Source organism: Homo sapiens, chromosome 21, assembly GCF_000001405.40.
Source record: "Homo sapiens chromosome 21, GRCh38.p14 Primary Assembly".
Taxonomy (NCBI): domain Eukaryota; kingdom Metazoa; phylum Chordata; class Mammalia; order Primates; family Hominidae; genus Homo; species Homo sapiens.
The window spans coordinates 19,227,914-19,245,348 of record NC_000021.9 but is presented as its reverse complement, the minus strand read 5'-3'; the positions used below and the strand labels follow the sequence as shown (position 1 = coordinate 19,245,348).

At 33.7% G+C, this 17,435-nt stretch overlaps 1 pseudogene, besides 2 other annotated features; it reads right to left on the bottom strand.

Moving 5' to 3' along the window:
• Positions 216–817, bottom strand: SLC6A6P1 (solute carrier family 6 member 6 pseudogene 1; annotated as a pseudogene).
• Positions 3,270–3,470: a silencer, noted in NCBI's record as "peak4362 fragment used in MPRA reporter construct". NCBI's record gives its function as "represses an SCP1 promoter by STARR-seq MPRAs in K562 erythroleukemia cells {active_cell/tissue: K562}" and the evidence as "EXISTENCE:reporter gene assay evidence [ECO:0000049][PMID:32103011]".
• Positions 8,630–8,830: a silencer, noted in NCBI's record as "peak4361 fragment used in MPRA reporter construct". NCBI's record gives its function as "represses an SCP1 promoter by STARR-seq MPRAs in K562 erythroleukemia cells {active_cell/tissue: K562}" and the evidence as "EXISTENCE:reporter gene assay evidence [ECO:0000049][PMID:32103011]".

Here is a 17,435-nt window from a genome sequence, read left to right as displayed (position 1 = left end):
ACCCATGCCGGGCAGCATCAGCCCTCGGACCAGCTGCCTCAGGAGCATGGCGAACTGGAACGTGGCTGTGAAGTAGACGACCTTCCCCGTGGACCTGACATCCTTCTAGATGCAGAAGAAACAGGCTAGCCAGACAAAGAGAAGACAGAGAGAGAGGTCCCATTTCAAAGAGCCCGGATGGTCGATTCCAGGGGACAAGCTCAGCACGTTGCGCCCCTAGAACTCAGTGACAGGGGAGGTAAGGTTGGTGGAGCTGATGGTGATCCAGACACTCTCGTTCGTGCGCATGGTGTCCTCCATGCAGGGGGGCGTGTTCCAGCTGTGGTTGCAGTGTGCCCTGGGCAGCTCCTTCTGGAAGGACTGGAACAGGTAGTCTGTAGCCCAGGCCACGATGACGATGTAGTGGACGTTCGGGAAGGGCACAATTACGATGGAGGCAGAGCCGATGCCAGAGAACAAGTGCCAGATCTTCTCCCAGTATGTGATGCCCCCTTCAGAGGTGTACTGGCCTGTGATGATCTCCAAGAAAAACACAGGCAGGCCGCTCCAAACAGGAAAGTATGAGAAATTCACCTTACCATTATTGTATCAGAGGTATGGGAAGCGCCAGACGTTGACCAGGCCCACGAAGCCGCCAGCCACGGAGATCACCAAGTCGATCTTGCTAGACGAGACCACTTCTGCCTCTGCGGAGGTTTTCCCTCGGCCTTGTCCTCAGACCGCGCTCTCTGGCTCTTCCCCAGCGAGGGCTTCAGGATGTCCTTGTGGAAATCTTTCAGACACTGCAGCTTCTCCTTGGTGACCATCTCTTCGCTTTCCCACATGGAGATGAGGAACTAAGGCTCAGAGACGTTAAGCGACTTAATCAAAGTTGCACAGCCAGAATGTGGTGGTAGAAAGGTTTTTGACACGTGCCTGAATAATGATACAAAAAAGGAAGGGGTCTGTCTGTGTTTACATAATTTTTTCCCTTCCCTAAGAAAACACACAAAAATAAATAATGAGATGTAGAAATTAACATTAACAGCTACTTTGGATGGTATTTTACCCAGGTTTGCACTAATTATTCCTTTCTGGAAATGAATTTATTGTTATGCAGCTTACAGTGAAAATGTTAAAGAGAGGTTAATATCTCTCAACCACAGATTAAATGCCTGGAGGCCATGACCTCTCTAAGGAGCTAAGAATAATCTATCAGTGAAAACAAATATAAGGATTTAGAATGGTATTCTTGTCTATTCTTTGTAACATTTTAAAATATAGGGCTTCTATTTCAAATATGAATAATTATTTTTAACATCTCATATCATATGGCTTTTTTATTACGATAGCACCAATACAATTTATGTCTGTAATAGCAATATATTAGGATTTATAACTAAGTTTTAAGCGCTATAATTTTAAATAAATTCTACACAACAAGATAACTAATTAATATTCCTTGGTATTCTTTTCTCTGATAAACTCAATGCAGCCTTAGAAGAATAAAGGGAAAGGTAACTACATAGATAGTAACATGATTTTTAAGCTCTGAATTAATTTGAGAAGGATAATAATAGAATTAATGATAGAAATTAACAAATTTATACACCTCAGATTGGCAATAACACTTGTCTTATTAAAATTTAAATTAGCCTTAATGAGCTCCCAAATAAGACTCCTTCATGATTCTATCTATTGTTGTTAAGTATAATGTATTTTAGATTTTTTTAAATATCAAATTATGTTATTTTCATTTTTTCTTTGGAGATGAATTTTATCAACTTCTTTCCAATTTTCTCTTTGTCTGTTATGAGTTTTATATTTATTTTTATAAAAGGAGAAAAAATATATATGGAGAGTGCCTAACCCTAACTACCAGACAACCAGGGAATGTTTGAAATATATATTATCCAAGAATTCCAAGGATTAATGGGCTGCATTAATATAGGCCTCTGAAGAAATTTTTATGATGGAATATTGTGTTGTCGCTACATTATTCACTCAGTCAAGTAATACTTTTGAAATTTCTCGTTCTAATCTTTTCTTTCTTACACAATGATTCCATAGGAATTTGTCCTTTGCTTGCTTTACAGAGAGCTCAGTTTCCCTTGAAGAGTTTCTACTTCTTCTAAGAGCACCTCGTCTTTTTAGCCTTTATGAACCAAGCAACCTTTACAGAAGGCTACATAATTTCTAACTTTATCTTTACTCTCTGGTCAGGAATCACAAATGTTCCTATCTTTCAGCAGTTTGTAAAACTCTTACTTTATTGTTGAATTAATAACATCAAAATGTTGTGTTCTGAACAATTTTTTGACTTGTTCTTTGATTCAATCAAGAAAGTAAAACTAGATACAGAGTCTTTGTGATCCAGCTACTATGAATTCTTTTTCCTGAGATGGATACCAAAGAGTTTATCAGCACACTTTGAGCCTGGTAATTATTTTAAAAAAGGTTAAAAACAGTTTGTATAAAAATCCATGCTACCTACTTTTCTCATTTTTCTTTATAATCGTAACTAGAAGTACTTTTTTCACGGCCTGTAAATTAAACATTAAAATTAAAAGATAAACCTAAGTTCGTGTTCTCAAAGTGATAAAATGAAAATAATGCCAGTACATAATCATTGATGAAATATGGGCACAGAGTAGCAAAGAACTGGGAACAAAATGGAAATCTAGATAGAGTTTCGAGTAAAGTATGTGTTAGAAACCTCAGTTTTAAGAGTGATAAGAAAGTCACAATGAAGTTTTATTATTTTTTTGCATATAGGGAGAAATGTATGTGTTTTTGCTTTGTACCCGCTTTTGTATAGAGGTACTTCATCTCTGGATTTCAGTTTTGCCAAAAATTATAGACATGGACATCAATCAATTCTGAGTTCCTGGCCGAGCATGGTGCCTCATGCCTGCAATTCCAGAACTTTTGGAAGCCAAGTCCAGAAGATAACTTTTGGCCAGGAGTTCAAGACCTACCTAGGCAACACAAGTGAGACCCCGTATCTACAAAAAGTATTATCTGGGCATGGTGGCACACACCTGTAGTGCCAGATACTCGGTAGGCTGAAGTGGGAGGATTGCTTGAGCCCAGGAGTTCAGGGTTGCAGTGAACTATGATCATGTTGCTGCACTGCAGCCTGGGTGTTGGAGCGGGACCCTGTCTCTTAAAAGAAAAAAAAAAAAATCTGCGAGTCTCTTCTGTGTCAGGTTGTGCCTTGGAATATGAGGTACTAGTATTAACAATTACAGACTTTTTCCGGATCATTAAAGGCACTCTGGTTTCTATGAACACTATGGCTTATATGACTGCTTGTTCTTATGCATCAACTCTTGGATCCTCTACATTTTTCTTGTGTTGCTGGCTTTAACACATCATTCTGTGAAAAGGCCTTGAAACTTATAGTAGTAATTTGAATCAACATCTATTCCAGCTAAAAATTGCAAAAGAGTCTGACATTAAAAAAAATGAAATTATCTATTTAATGGTAGAAGAATCACTTAAGAGATGACATTACTGGTACTAAGATGAAAGCAGAAAAAATATTCAAGAGGAGGATTACCTTTTGAATGTGTATTTTCATCATAAATAAAAAAGTAAAAGGTAAATATAGGGAAAAAAGAAAATTCTACTTTCGTAGGTACAAATTATTATCTTCAGCCACTTTTAAAAGATAAAACATAGTTCAGAGCAGCAGACCTCTGAAAAAAGAGAACTGTCACATTGCTTTAAAAGACTTGAAATGTATTATCACAGAAAGATTTTATAAAATTATCTTCCCTGTAGTTCTCAGAATGAAATGGAATAATAAAGTGTCTTAAAGTGATCAGGAAAGGAGATAGACTAATTGTATTCTCAAGGTCTTTCCCAAACCTATAATTTTATGAATACTTCATTAGCTGTAGTCATATTCAATAAAAACTGTCATAAAACAAAATTTATTTCGTGGTCACAGAAGTTACACTTTTACTCACAGTACTTCCTGACAATTTCAGAAAAATACCTAATTACATAGTCATATGTAAAATGTACTTTTTGGTAAAAGTAAAAATAAGTTTAACATTGACCTTCAAATATTTAATTAAGATACAACATTTTTATGTGGATTCTATTTGTTAGAAAATAATAAAGCAGAAACAAGCAGGCAGTATATGTGAATACTATTCAATTTCACTAAAATTCTTATTTATCCAGAAATCGATTTCCTTTAATAATGCTTGAACATATATTTTATAATGCTTTCTAATTAAGTGAAATGCTTTTACATATGTCTCTATATGAAATTTCATTTAAATGACCTCTAGCCTCGCATTCCAAAGAGCTGTGGGGATCTACCTGAAATACATTAGGAGCTACCAGAGCAGGTTGGTTGGGGATTTTGCCATTTAAAAACAAACAAAAAAAGCACCATTTGGTATTATTAATACAATTTTATTTCCAAAAAGTACAACTGCATAAAAATTAATCCAACATTACTTCTTTAAAATGATCCCTGTAATTTCCAATGCAAACTAAATATGCAAATGTATAACTACACTTGCACCTATGGAAAGTGTAAACTTCTTGAGTAGAAGCTTTAATATTGCATTTTGCATAAGAGTAACGATATCTTCATATTATATAGCACCATATTACTTCCCAGAAAACCACAATATGTGGTTTATGGAACTATGAGCATAAGTATACAAATTGTTCTAAATTATTACTAAAATTATTAACAGATGATCTCTTATTTACATGCAGGTTTTCCAAATCAGTGGCTACACTTTCTATTATTTAATGTTTTGAAGAAATTGCAGCAGTTTTTTTTTATAGTGAAGGCTGAATCCCTTACAGTAACCTTTATAAAGATATAATCATCATGATTAGTTTGAAACATTATAAATATATAATGAGATAAGTGAAGATGGCTTTAAATAATTAGAGGAAAACCTCAAACTGTTCCATTTCCTGGTCAATCGATAAGAAATGATCCTGAACAAGAATCAGATGACCTCTGAAAATTCTATCCTTTTAGCAATTATGCCGATGTTAATAAAGTTAGACAATCTCCACTCAATTTGACCTTATAATAGTATTATAATTGAATATTAAATTAAAAGATGCAATTAAGATTTAAACAAAATGCTTTCACATTTTGGAGCTGAAATATCTTTTAAATCTAAATTCTTTTAGAATTCAGATCTCTTAGTCACCTAATTAAAAGCAATAGTAAAGATTAAAATACAATAAACAGAGTAAGATGGGGCTGTTAAGAATCAAGGAATGATTTGTAAAGAAAATAAAATTTTTAACCAATAAAATTTGTATTTTAAAGATGTAAATACAATAATTCTACTATTGTGTTGTGATAGAAGGATTCATTATTTTACCAATGTTCAGGCATTTTTGTTTTCATATGATATTTTTTAGAAAGAATCTTCCATCTTCTTGTCAATAACAAAATTAACTAATAGGCTCTTTTTATATTGCATCATCATATAAAAGCTTTATAAATCGAACATATTTCTAACATAATAAGCAAGGCACAGAAAAATAAAATTTACATGTTCTCACTTATTTATGGGAGCTAAACATTAAAACAAAGTCATGGTGATAGAGAGAGTGATGGTTACCAGAAGCTTCTAAGGGTAGTTGGTGAGGGGATGGGGGGAATTGGCAAAGGTTAATGGGCACAAATAAATAGAAATAATGAATAAGATCTAGTACTTGATAGGAAAACAGGGTGACTATAGTCAATAACCATTTAATCGTACATCTTAAAGTAACCAAAAGTGTATAACTGGATTCTTTGTAACACAAAGGATAAATGCTAAAAGTTATGGATACCACATTGGCTCTGATGTGATTATGACACATAGTATGGCTGTATCAAAATATCTCATGTACCACATAAATATATACACCTGCTACGTATCCACAAAAATAATGAAAAATTTTAAAAATAAAAATTAAATTTCAACTGATAGTATAAGTAAGAAATAATATAAAATGGAATATACCATATTCTTGCACATTTTAAAGGATAATTTAAGGGATAACCAAATAATATTGTTGGACACCAATGCTTTGTATTTGACACCTTTTTTGAATAAGTTCATACATCAAACAGAAATGAATACCTAATCCCAACGTATCACATTTTATCTGAGAGGAAAATGGAATGGTCCTTTCATAATCATCTTCTTTAGGCAAGACCGGACATTGCTTCTCTCCCTTAGTATCATGACCTTCTTTAACTTTTGAAATGAATCACACTGATGATATTTGAATACATCTTTTCCTTTTCATTTTGGGTGGGCTTTTGTCTATTTTTCTATAGAAATGTTATGACATAGCAAACTTACTCGTTCTTATGACATATTAAAAAATATATCTTAGGGTCAATCCCTTCTGTGTTTTAGATTTTAAAAAAATACGTTATTGAGAAGGAAAGAGCCCGATCCTTGATGTGCTATACTCCACTAGTGAAATGTTTTCAAGCCCACTTGTTTTTAAAGTGAAAGAAGGATGGAGGTAGCATTACCTAAGAGGATTCTGGATTAGCTACACATGGGCTGGCATATGTCAAAAAGTCAGCAAAGTTTTTAGAACATAGTGCCAAATAACTAACTTTCAAATCTGCTCAGAATGTTTTTCCTCTTTCCCTTGGGAGACTGGTATACACAATGCTAATTTGGTGTGAATGAGACATAAATAGAAGCAAACTGTGAGATGCTTCCTATATTGAGATATGGTTACTCAAAGAGAAAGATATGGCCATTAACATGAATGACATAAGGAAGCATTATGATTGTTACAGGTGGGATAAATAATTTAAAGAATAAAGTCACCATATTTAATCATTATAGTTTAGTCCATATAAAATAAAGGTGAATTGTTGGATTTATTACAAAATGTAGCTTTGTTAAAACCAATTAAATAAGAACTGAATTAAGGGAATTTTAAAGAACAATTTTCTGTTTAAAGTTTATAAACTCAAGGTAAACTATGTTATTATATAGCATATATGAATCATAATATAGTTTGTTTTTTATTTTTGAGAAATACAAACTGGATATCTATAAAAATACTGTGACAATATATTAGGTGGCACTTATAATGTAAAAATAATTTCGCTGCTCCTTTTTTTCTCCTAAATTAGAAACTTAGTTTTTTTGTTTGTTTTGGTTTTGATACTTGGACATTAGAAAACATGTGAGTTCTAGTTGGCACTTTTGGTGAACTTTTCCATTTTGAGTTCATTTTTATGCTGCTTTCTAATTTCTGAAAATACTTCCCACATGACATATTGCACACATTCGGTATACAGTTAATCAATGTACACTTTTCTTGGCTGAGAATCATTTTCTGTTTTGCAGATAATTTTAAAACTTGCTATTTTGAGTAAAAGGGAGTGAAGGTCAAGTGTATTAACTATCATTTTTAAAAAACCATACTAACAAACTTGCTTGCCAGATAATGCCACCCTCGAATAGGCCTCAGCAGCAGAGTGACTTCTGTTCTTTGAGGGCTTCAGGCTCCTTCATAAATTCAGAGCCATGTTCACTTACAAAGAATTGATTTCCAGCTGACTGGGCAGAATCAATGGATCAACTGTTACAGATTTTACTACTTGTACCCTTGGCCAGAGCCTGTGATTTGTGTTTACAATCCATAAGAGTTTTCAGGCCCTTCAGATCTGCCTGTACCTAAAAAATATTTATAGTAAAGCAATACTTTTAAAGCAATACCTCTGCCATTAACATCACAGCCTATTTATCTGGGTATTTTAATTCATTTTAAGTAATAATGAAAGTACTGTAAATATCTTAATATTTGTCTATTCACAGAATTAATAATTTGAATCATTTCTAACCTTTAGCCAAAGAAAATATACATATATATATACATAAAAATGTATATTGTTACTGAAGAAACTAAAGGAACATGGTTATTCTTAAGTTTACCTGAAAAAAGAAAATGCATACAACGTTGATATATAATTTTTTAAACATTTTTATTGAAAAAGATTGAGAACTGAATAAACAGTGAAATGTGGTCTTAACAAGGCTGAGGAAAGGCACTTTTTAGACATACATTTGCTTTCTCTTCAAATAGAATATTATGGTCTTAGATCTTTTTTTCTTTCAGGGAAACGTTGATAAAGAACAAAATGTATGTTAATGAATATAAAAACTAGTATAGTGTACAATGAATAAGATATTGAAAATTAAATATCCCTTTTAAGGAGATAACTTAAATATATTATAGTATATCTATGTAATTAAAAGTTTAAATGATTAAGACAAAAGTATTAAAATGTTAAATGAAAATGATGTCTGTGTATGGACCAGGTAGAATCCTTTAGAGATAGGTAAAATATTAGCAGGCAAAAGAATGTATAAAATGATGGCTTTTAGCTTATTTGTTGTCTTAAAACATAAGCACATAAATTAATTCTGGTGGATCATACTTCTAAAATTTGCTATTTCTTAAGGATCGGGTTGGGTGGTGGTCTGGGTCGGGTATGCAATTGAACATTTACTTTATCTTTTACAATGTCTTGTATCGTCTGACATTTTATGTCTACAACGGGTGTTAGTCAGGGTTCTCCAAAGGGGCAGAACTAATAGGCTATATGTATATATAAAAGGGAGTTTATTAGGGAGAATTGGCTCACACGATCACAAGTCCCATGATAGGCTGTCTGCAAGCTGAGGAAGTAGAAAGCCAGTAGGGACTTAGTCCAAGTCCCAAAGTGTTAAAAGTAGAGAAGCCGACAGTGCAGTCTTCAGTCTGTGGCTGAAGGCCCAAAAGCCCCTGGCAAACCACCGGTGTAAGTCCAAGAGTCCGAAGGCCAAAGAACCTAGAGTCTGATGTTCAAGGGCAGGAAGCATCCAGCACGAGAGAAAGATGAAAGCTGGAAGACTCAGCAAGCCAGCTTCTTCCAACTTCTTCCGTCTGCTTTCTCTAGCCGCGCTGGCAGCTGATTGGATGGTCCCCGCCCCAACATTGTGGTTGGTTCTTCCTCTCCAAGTCCAGTGACTCAAATGTTAATCTCTTCTGGCAACGCCCTCACAGACACACCCGGAAACAATACTTTGCATCCTTCAATCAAGTTGATACTTAATATTAACCATCACACAACCAGAAAATGAAATCAAGATTTTCCACTTTAAAAGTGAAATAAAAATTCGTAATTGTGATTGCTTAAATGCATGTGCCTGTGTTTATATAAGCAGCCAAATAATAATACCAAAATATGTATTTGTTTAGCATATATATAAAAATTATTATGAGGCTTAATATATATTTTTTTCTGTAAGAAAATGGATGGAGGCTTTCGCTCAGTTGTTAATAGAATGTATTTTTGTTCTTTTTCTAAAGAATTTTGTGCTGTTCTGTTCAGTTTTTCTTTTGGGCAATCAGTCTTAGAACTAATTGCATATTTCTCATTGTTAGATTTAATCAAGTGAATATTGTTTCCCAACTCATGCAGGTATGTTCCAATTCATGGCATAAATTATGTTTACCAGAACAAGCTTGTCTCTATCTTAATTCCTTTTGTTTTTTCCATAACCTCATCTCTACCTTATGTGTCATTAATTTCTGTAAACAAACTTTAAAAAATTGTTAAAACAGTTTTAGATTTACTGAAATACAGCAAGATTGTGTGTAGAAAATTTCCATACACTCCACACCCATTTTCTCCTATTATTAATGTCTTACAAATAGTGTGGCACATGTGTCAAGATCATTGAGACAAAATTGGTACATTATTATGTAATCTTTAGTGGTTTTTTTTCAGATTTCTTTAGTTTTTATCTAACGTCTCTCTTTCTGTTGTAGGGTTACATACAGAGTATTACATTATATTTAATCATCATATGTTCCTAGGCTCCTCTTGACTATGATTGTTTATCAGAGTTTTCTTGTGTATCAGGATATTGACAGTTTGAGAGATTTGGTCAGACATTTTATAGAATGCCTCCCAGTTAGAATTTGTCTGATTATTTTCTCATGATTAGACTGAGGTTATGTGTTCTTGGGAGGAAAACCACAGAAACAAAGAAGTACCACTTGTATCACATTGTATTAAAGAACACACTGTCATACTACCAGCATGATATTAGTCTCGGACAACTCGTTGAAGTAGAGCTTATCACGTTCCTCTACTGTAAAGTTTTTCTGGCTCCCAGCCCCATTGCATACTATAGTCTTTGGAAGGAATTCATTTATGTGTCATCCACTCTTAAGGAATGGGGGGTTATCGGCCACATCCTTGATGGGGGAATATCTATACAAGTTGTTTGGAATTCTTTTTTTATGGGCAGATTTGTATTTTTCTATCTTTATTTAGTGAATTATTTATTCATAACCATGTATCAGTATGGACTTGTGAATATTTATTTCATGTTTTGGTTTATATTCTAAGACTTACATTTTTAGGAAGTGTAAATACATTATGAGATATTACTATAAGTGCAGGAATGGGAATCTCTTGAGTTGGGTCCATTAGGAGACACTCAGTGTTTGGTTAACCAAGGAATATATGTATAAACATGAGAGTTCACATGCTTTGGGGTTAATGACAAAAAAAAAGGTAACATCAACCTGACCTCAGACAACTTTATTTTAGAGAAGGCAACTTACCTAAAACAGAAGCTATTGGAGCGATAAACTGGTAGGAAAACTTAATGGTAATTTTGATGAATTGCTGAAGGCTGAGTGTGGATTGTCATGAAAGCAAGAAACTCCTTGGGCCTCACAGTCTTGAGGTGGTACCATAGACATAGCAAGAGGACAAGCCATAGACTGAGAGAAATATTTGAAAACCATATATCTGATAAAGGTTTTGTATCCAAAAGTATACAAAGAACTGTTAAAACTCAACAATAAGAAAACAAACAACACAATTAAAAAATGGGCAAAGGTTCTGAAATGACACCTCACCAAATAAGACACACAGATGGAAAATAAGCATATGAAAAGAGGTTCATTATCATTTGGCATCACAAAAATTGCAAATTAAAACAGAAATGAGATATCACTAAAAACCTACTAGATTGGTGAAAATAATAATAATAGCAACAACAACAACAAAATAAAAAACTGACCATAGCAAACACTGGAAAGGGTACAGAGCAAAAACAACACTCATTGCATTTGGAAATAAAGAATGGTACAGCCATTTTAGAAGACAATTTTGCGGTGTTTTATACAGCTTTGAAACATGGCCTCTTAATATGACCCAGCGATTGTGTATCTAGGTGTTCAACGAACTGAATTGAAAACATGTTCACAGGCCGGGCACGGTGGCTGACACCTGTAATCCCAGCACTTGGGAGGCCGAGGCAGGCGGATCACTTGAAGTCGGGAGTCTGAGACCAGCTTGACCAACATGGAGAAACCCTGTCTCTACTGAAAATGCAAAATTAGCCGGGCATGGTGGTGCATGCCTGTAATCCCAGCTACTCGGGAGGCTGAGGCAACAGAATCACTTGAACCTGGGAAGCGGAGGTTGCAGTGAGCTGAGATCGTGCCATTGCAATCAATGGATGCCTGGGCAAGAGGAGCGAAACTCCATCTTTCAATAAATAAATAAATAAATAAATAAATAAATAAATAAATAATAAAACAAGTTCACAAAACACCTATGCATGAATGTTTCTAGCACTTTATTCTCACCAAAAACTGGAAGAAACAAAGATACTCTTCAAGAGGTGAATGACTGAACACACTTGGTATATCTACACGTAGAATATTATTCAGTGATAAAAATAAATGAGATATCAAGCTATAAAAACAGAATAAATCTTAAATGCGTATTGCTAAGTGAAAGAAGACAATCTGAAGAAGCTATATACTTTGTGATTCCAATGATAGGATATTCTGAAAAAGGGAACATAGTAGACAATAAAGAAATCAGTGGTTGTCAAGGTTTTAGGAGGGAGAAAAGGAGAGTTGAATAGGTGAAACACAGAGGAATTTTCAGGAAGGTGAAACTATTCTGTAAATAATATGATGGTGGAAACATGATGCTATTCATTAGTCAAAATTCACAGAACTTTACAGGGAAAATAATAAACCTAATGTTCTAAAATTTAAAAAAAATCAAAAGTTCAGAAGATGGGAGGAGAGAATGCAAAACATGTTAAAAAAACTAGCTAAATTACAAATCTGTAAAACAATTTTACTGATCTTTGAAAATCAGTGAAATTTTGAAGATTAAAAGTTCAGAAAATTTTATGTAAGTACTGTGTTCACGTTGATAATGTTTCCTATGGACATACTGTTTAACAATTCTGATACCACTAGACACTAGTTAAATGAATGATGGGTGGTGGGAGCCATATTTCTCACAGTTGGAGAGGAAGCTACAAATAAACAAGGGGACAAGGCTAGAAAGATCCTTGTAGCAATGGATCAGAATTGGATGCATTGCTATTAACTCATGCTCACCTTAATATGGATACAGATGGTTACATATAGACATATTTGTAGATATTTGTATATACATGATTAATATACACACATTTATTTATCTGATGTCTGCTCAGTAGGACTATAAGCAGTGGCACCATCACAGCAATGAGCATATCTAGTACCACAGATCTTGGTATCTAATACCATCTCTAACAAAGAAACCAGGTCCGTGAAGAGATGGCAGATTCAGGGACAAGGAAGACACAAAGTAACCCAGAGCATCTTGTAGAAAGCAAAAGTAAAGAAGTGTTTTCACATGCACACAGACACACACACACACACACACACACACACACAGAGAGAGAGAGAGAGAGAAAGAGAGAGAGAGAGATTTTTTTTAAGGAAAAAAAATGGTAAAGGATTGGAACCATGATAGCTACTCTGACAGTGAAAACAAAGGAACTGATAGGGAAACATTACGAGAAAGACTCTTATCAGTTTTTGACTTATTTAAACGTGAAGACTAGGAGGAAGAGAAGTGCACTTAAAGTGCTATTCTCCATTTCAAACTTCCGTGATATCATCCTAAAAAGCACGTTATAGCCTCCTAGTATTACAAGACTAATGTTTCCCTTTAATTTTTCTAAACACAGACTTTTCTTTCTGTAAGTAGTACTTGTAACCTCTCCTTCTTCATTGACAGCTTCTACTTTGTCTTTATTAAACCCTTTCAAACTCTGACACCACTCCAGTATGCCTCGTTATAGTAAATGAAACCTTTACCCTAGGAGGGCATGGAATGAGAGTGAGAAATGTGGTGATGAAGAACACATTAGAGGGCTAAAGGAAGTCCAATGTGGCTAAATTGAGAAGGTCAAATAAAGATTGGCTCTGGAAGCAGTTGGATAACTAGACAAGAAATTGAATACCTGTCTGAATGTGAATTCTGTTTACAGTGACAAGAAAAAAATAGAGGACCCCCTAAGTGTAGTTGTTGGGAGGATAGATTAGTTCAATTATAGACCTGTTCATTTGAGATGCCTGTGAGAAATCGAACAGAAGAGATATAGGAAGAAGTTGGATATTCAGGTTTTCAGTTCAGGAAATAAACAAGAGCTAGGCTTAAGTGGTGTATTTCTGAGTCATCTTTCCCTAGGTATATAATTGAGGCCAATGTTTAGGTACCTCTCTTATGCTCCCTCAAATCCTTCCATGATCTCCGTTGCTCCTTTAAGCACATGATATAGTAATTGACTCTTTTTCTTTTTTCATTAAACTCTATGAGTCTTAAGGGTACCTTTAAGAAATTCTTTGAGGGCAGGATTTGGTCTTATTCATCTTTATCTCTCCAGCACATTGTAAAATATTTATTTAATAAATAAATTCATCCTTTCACATAAATTGCCTAAGTAGAAATTCTGTGGGTTAAGAAAAGTCAGCCATAATTAAGGTGAATAGGTATTTTAATCCACATATTATGAAACATAAAGTAACTTCTGAATATTTACATGATTTACTCACTATGACATAGTAAGAAGTTACAGAGTTGAGGATAGTAATCATCTTTTTACTTTTATTTTTTCTCTTGGCTATAAGTGTTTCTTAATAATACTACGGAGAATTTAATTTTCAACACTTCTCTGAAGATATGCATGATTCCTAGTAGAGTACAGCTTCATCAGGCCCTTTAGTTTATTATTAATACTGAATGCTACAAAATATATATAACATTGTAAATGAATTGTTTCTTCTAATGTGTCTAGAGTAAGCTGCACTAAGGATAAAGAGGCTTCAAATTTCTTTTAAAGTATGGAAGCTGCATAGCCAATATCCACTTGGGAATGAATGAATCCCAATCTAAAAGTCCTTATTTCCAAGACATATATAATTACAATCTCTTACCAAATACCATGTCGGTGTTTAACAATTTTATTTGTAGAGCAAATCAAGAAGTCAAACAAATCAAGCCTTTAGGGCATTATAGTTTAAGTATGGTTTTCCTAAGTATGTTCCATGGAACCAATCATTCTTGTATGAAACATGAATGAGATGAATGCTGCCAGAAGAGACAAAGGTCATAACACCCTGGGGTGGTTGCCTTGCTGGTCCTCTTTTTCATCCTAATGTATTAAAAACTTATCAGTAATAAAAAGTATTAAAAAGAGCTGACAATTTTCTAGGCAATGTTCAATTTAGAAAATGTCTAGAATATGCTGATGATAATTTCTCTGTAGGAATATTTTAAGCCTTTTGGAGAAGAATTAATTTTTATAGAGATGCAGGTAATCATTGCTTAGCAAATAATTGCTGATGTGTGGTTAATCACCAGTTGTTTTATACAAGCAAAATAATTTTGAATGTTTTTATGTAATTCTATTTTTTAAATAATTATTATTATTGCCTTCCTAATTTAATAAACTTCATCAGCACTTCTCACAACATGACAGATGTTTTGCCTATAGTAAGTTATCACCAATGGATGAAGCGTTCAAAGTTATTATTTGAATTTTTATCATAATTTTAGTATGGTTCCATGATTTTATTTTTTTCGGTATTATTACCTTTTCAGCAAACAGAAATAATATTGAAGCAATCCTATAAAATTTCACCTAAATTTTAGAGACTGGGTCTTATTTTTGATCACTCAAGACTCAACTAGAAGTGATTTTAATATATAACCCACTGGTAGGGTCAATAAACATTTGATGGCTTTGCAATTCTTTCTTGTGTATAAAATAAGACTCAATGGTGAATTGTGTAAACTGTACATGTTTTAAGAATTTATATATAGTACTTGAAATCTGTTTCCTTCTTCCTACCTTACGACCACCTCTACATCTTAACTGCTTGCTTATTCTTTACTCTATTTTTTGTCGGTTTTCTTTCTTCCTCCTAAATACCTAGGTTGCCCTGTCCGACCTGAATATTTACTTATGTAGCTACCTCCTAATAATACCAGCAACAGATTAAACATCTGTATTTTGGGCTTCCAAGTATTACTGAAGATGGACAAGAAATTAATAGATTTTAAGTGTCAGGAAACATATTAAGTATCAATTCACACACCTGTAACAAAGCAAGCATGAATTTATGTCCCAGGTTTGCCATCATTTCCTATATGAGTACCAGCAAATTATTTAACATATCTGCCTTTCCTTTTTCTGACTTGTATGTGATGGTCATTAGACAACTTATTGGCTATTGGTTAAAAAACACAATGTACAAAAAGCATCATAATATGGTGCCCAGGAAATATTTTTCAAAAGAATATGTTCCTATAATTATGATTTTGTCATTATTGTTTCATTGCTTTTAACGATGATTTTATCTGTTGTGTTTCTGTAGTTAAGGTACAAATATCTCAGAGAAGTTATCACTTTTAAACTTTTTTCTTTGGCCTTAGTGATGAAGCACAAATTCACAGGGAGAGTTTAAGGAAAAGGAGCACAGCATAAGGTAGGTGTGACTTATGGTTGAGAAATGTGGTCCATAACATATTTTTATGTCATCTAACTATGGGAAATATTGAAGCACACTGTTTAATATTATGTATTTATTTTTACCTCAATATGAGTATTTGAGCTTTAAAAGAGCAGGAGATTACTGGTGTACTTTTTAAGTTTATTTTAGCAAAATGTTTACGTCACTTAAGTGGAATACATTAAAAATACATATTTAATACTTCATCAAAAGGAGGAAAGGATTTTCTTATGAAAATATTTCTGCCAGGTAATTTGTCAGGAATGGAGAATGATACATGCAAATTATCTTCCACATGTAGTTATTCTATCCCTTCTGATTAACCAAATCTTACATTGTTCTGCCCAGAATTTTTTTAAAACAAATCTCCAATTAATCATTTAATACATAGATAATAATAGTTTACATGTATTGCGATTTTGAACGATAGGCTCAAGCATCTACTCAGTAGTAGGGCTGGGTTTTGAGCAAAAGTGTGCTTTACTTTAGAGTTCACATAAGCTATAATGCCTCTAACTAAACTATACTATCTCTCAGAAATTGATTTTCTCTGATTTTTTTTTAGTTTTTGTTCAGAACTATACTCTTAAAGACATGAAAAAGAAATATGCGAAGTAAGTGGATATACAAAAAGTCCAGATGTAGAAAAAGTTAATATTGGACAGCAAACTAAGCAAAAGGCGACACTGAAAAAAAAATCTAAAACTGATTTATGTAGAATCTACCTGTTCAAATATATGCGGTGTGTGTTTCTGTGTGTGCAAGTATTCCTGAAATGCACTGCCTTAGCACTATAAAATATACAATCATATTTGTTTCTTTTCCTGAATGTAACTGAACAAAAGGTTCAACATTGACATTCCATTTGGATTATAAGGGGAAGGACATTTCAAAGACAAAAGCCCATCAGAGAATACAAATTGCTTCTAAGTTCAAATGTAATAAGCATTTGCAAGAACAGTTTAGTGGATATCAACTGCCACTGAGATTGCATTCACTTAAGGAAAACATCAAAGGAAACCAGAGTTCTCACCACATCATGATTTATGGATTTGGCTTGAACACTTGTAATTACTCCCTTAGCATGAGAGGATGAGTACAGATGCAGGAGCTCCACCAAGCTCAAATTCCAGAGAAAACAAGGCACTTGATTCTTTTTTGCTGATGTATTCTCAAGGGTATTATAGTAGTAAATAGGTCAAAATATTGTTTCATGGCTCACTCTGTAATGGACAAAACTGTGTCAAGACGGCTACTGTTTGTTTGTTTCTTTGTTTGTTTGTTTGTTTAATACCAGATATTAACCTTTGAAATTCCCTCTGGTAAAATTTTTGGGAAAAAATGTGCTAATGAAATAAATGTTTCTATTGAGAATTTTTACCTAAACAAAAGAGTTGATTATGTCTAAGTAAAATTAACTAATATTAACAATTATAGAGATGTGAAAAATTTCATAAGACTATAGGATATTTCCACTTTGAGTAAAAAGAGTAATCATTGTTTTTTCTATGTCTAAAAATGCAAAAATTAAGAAATGCTTTTCACCTTATTTACATTCAAATGTCATG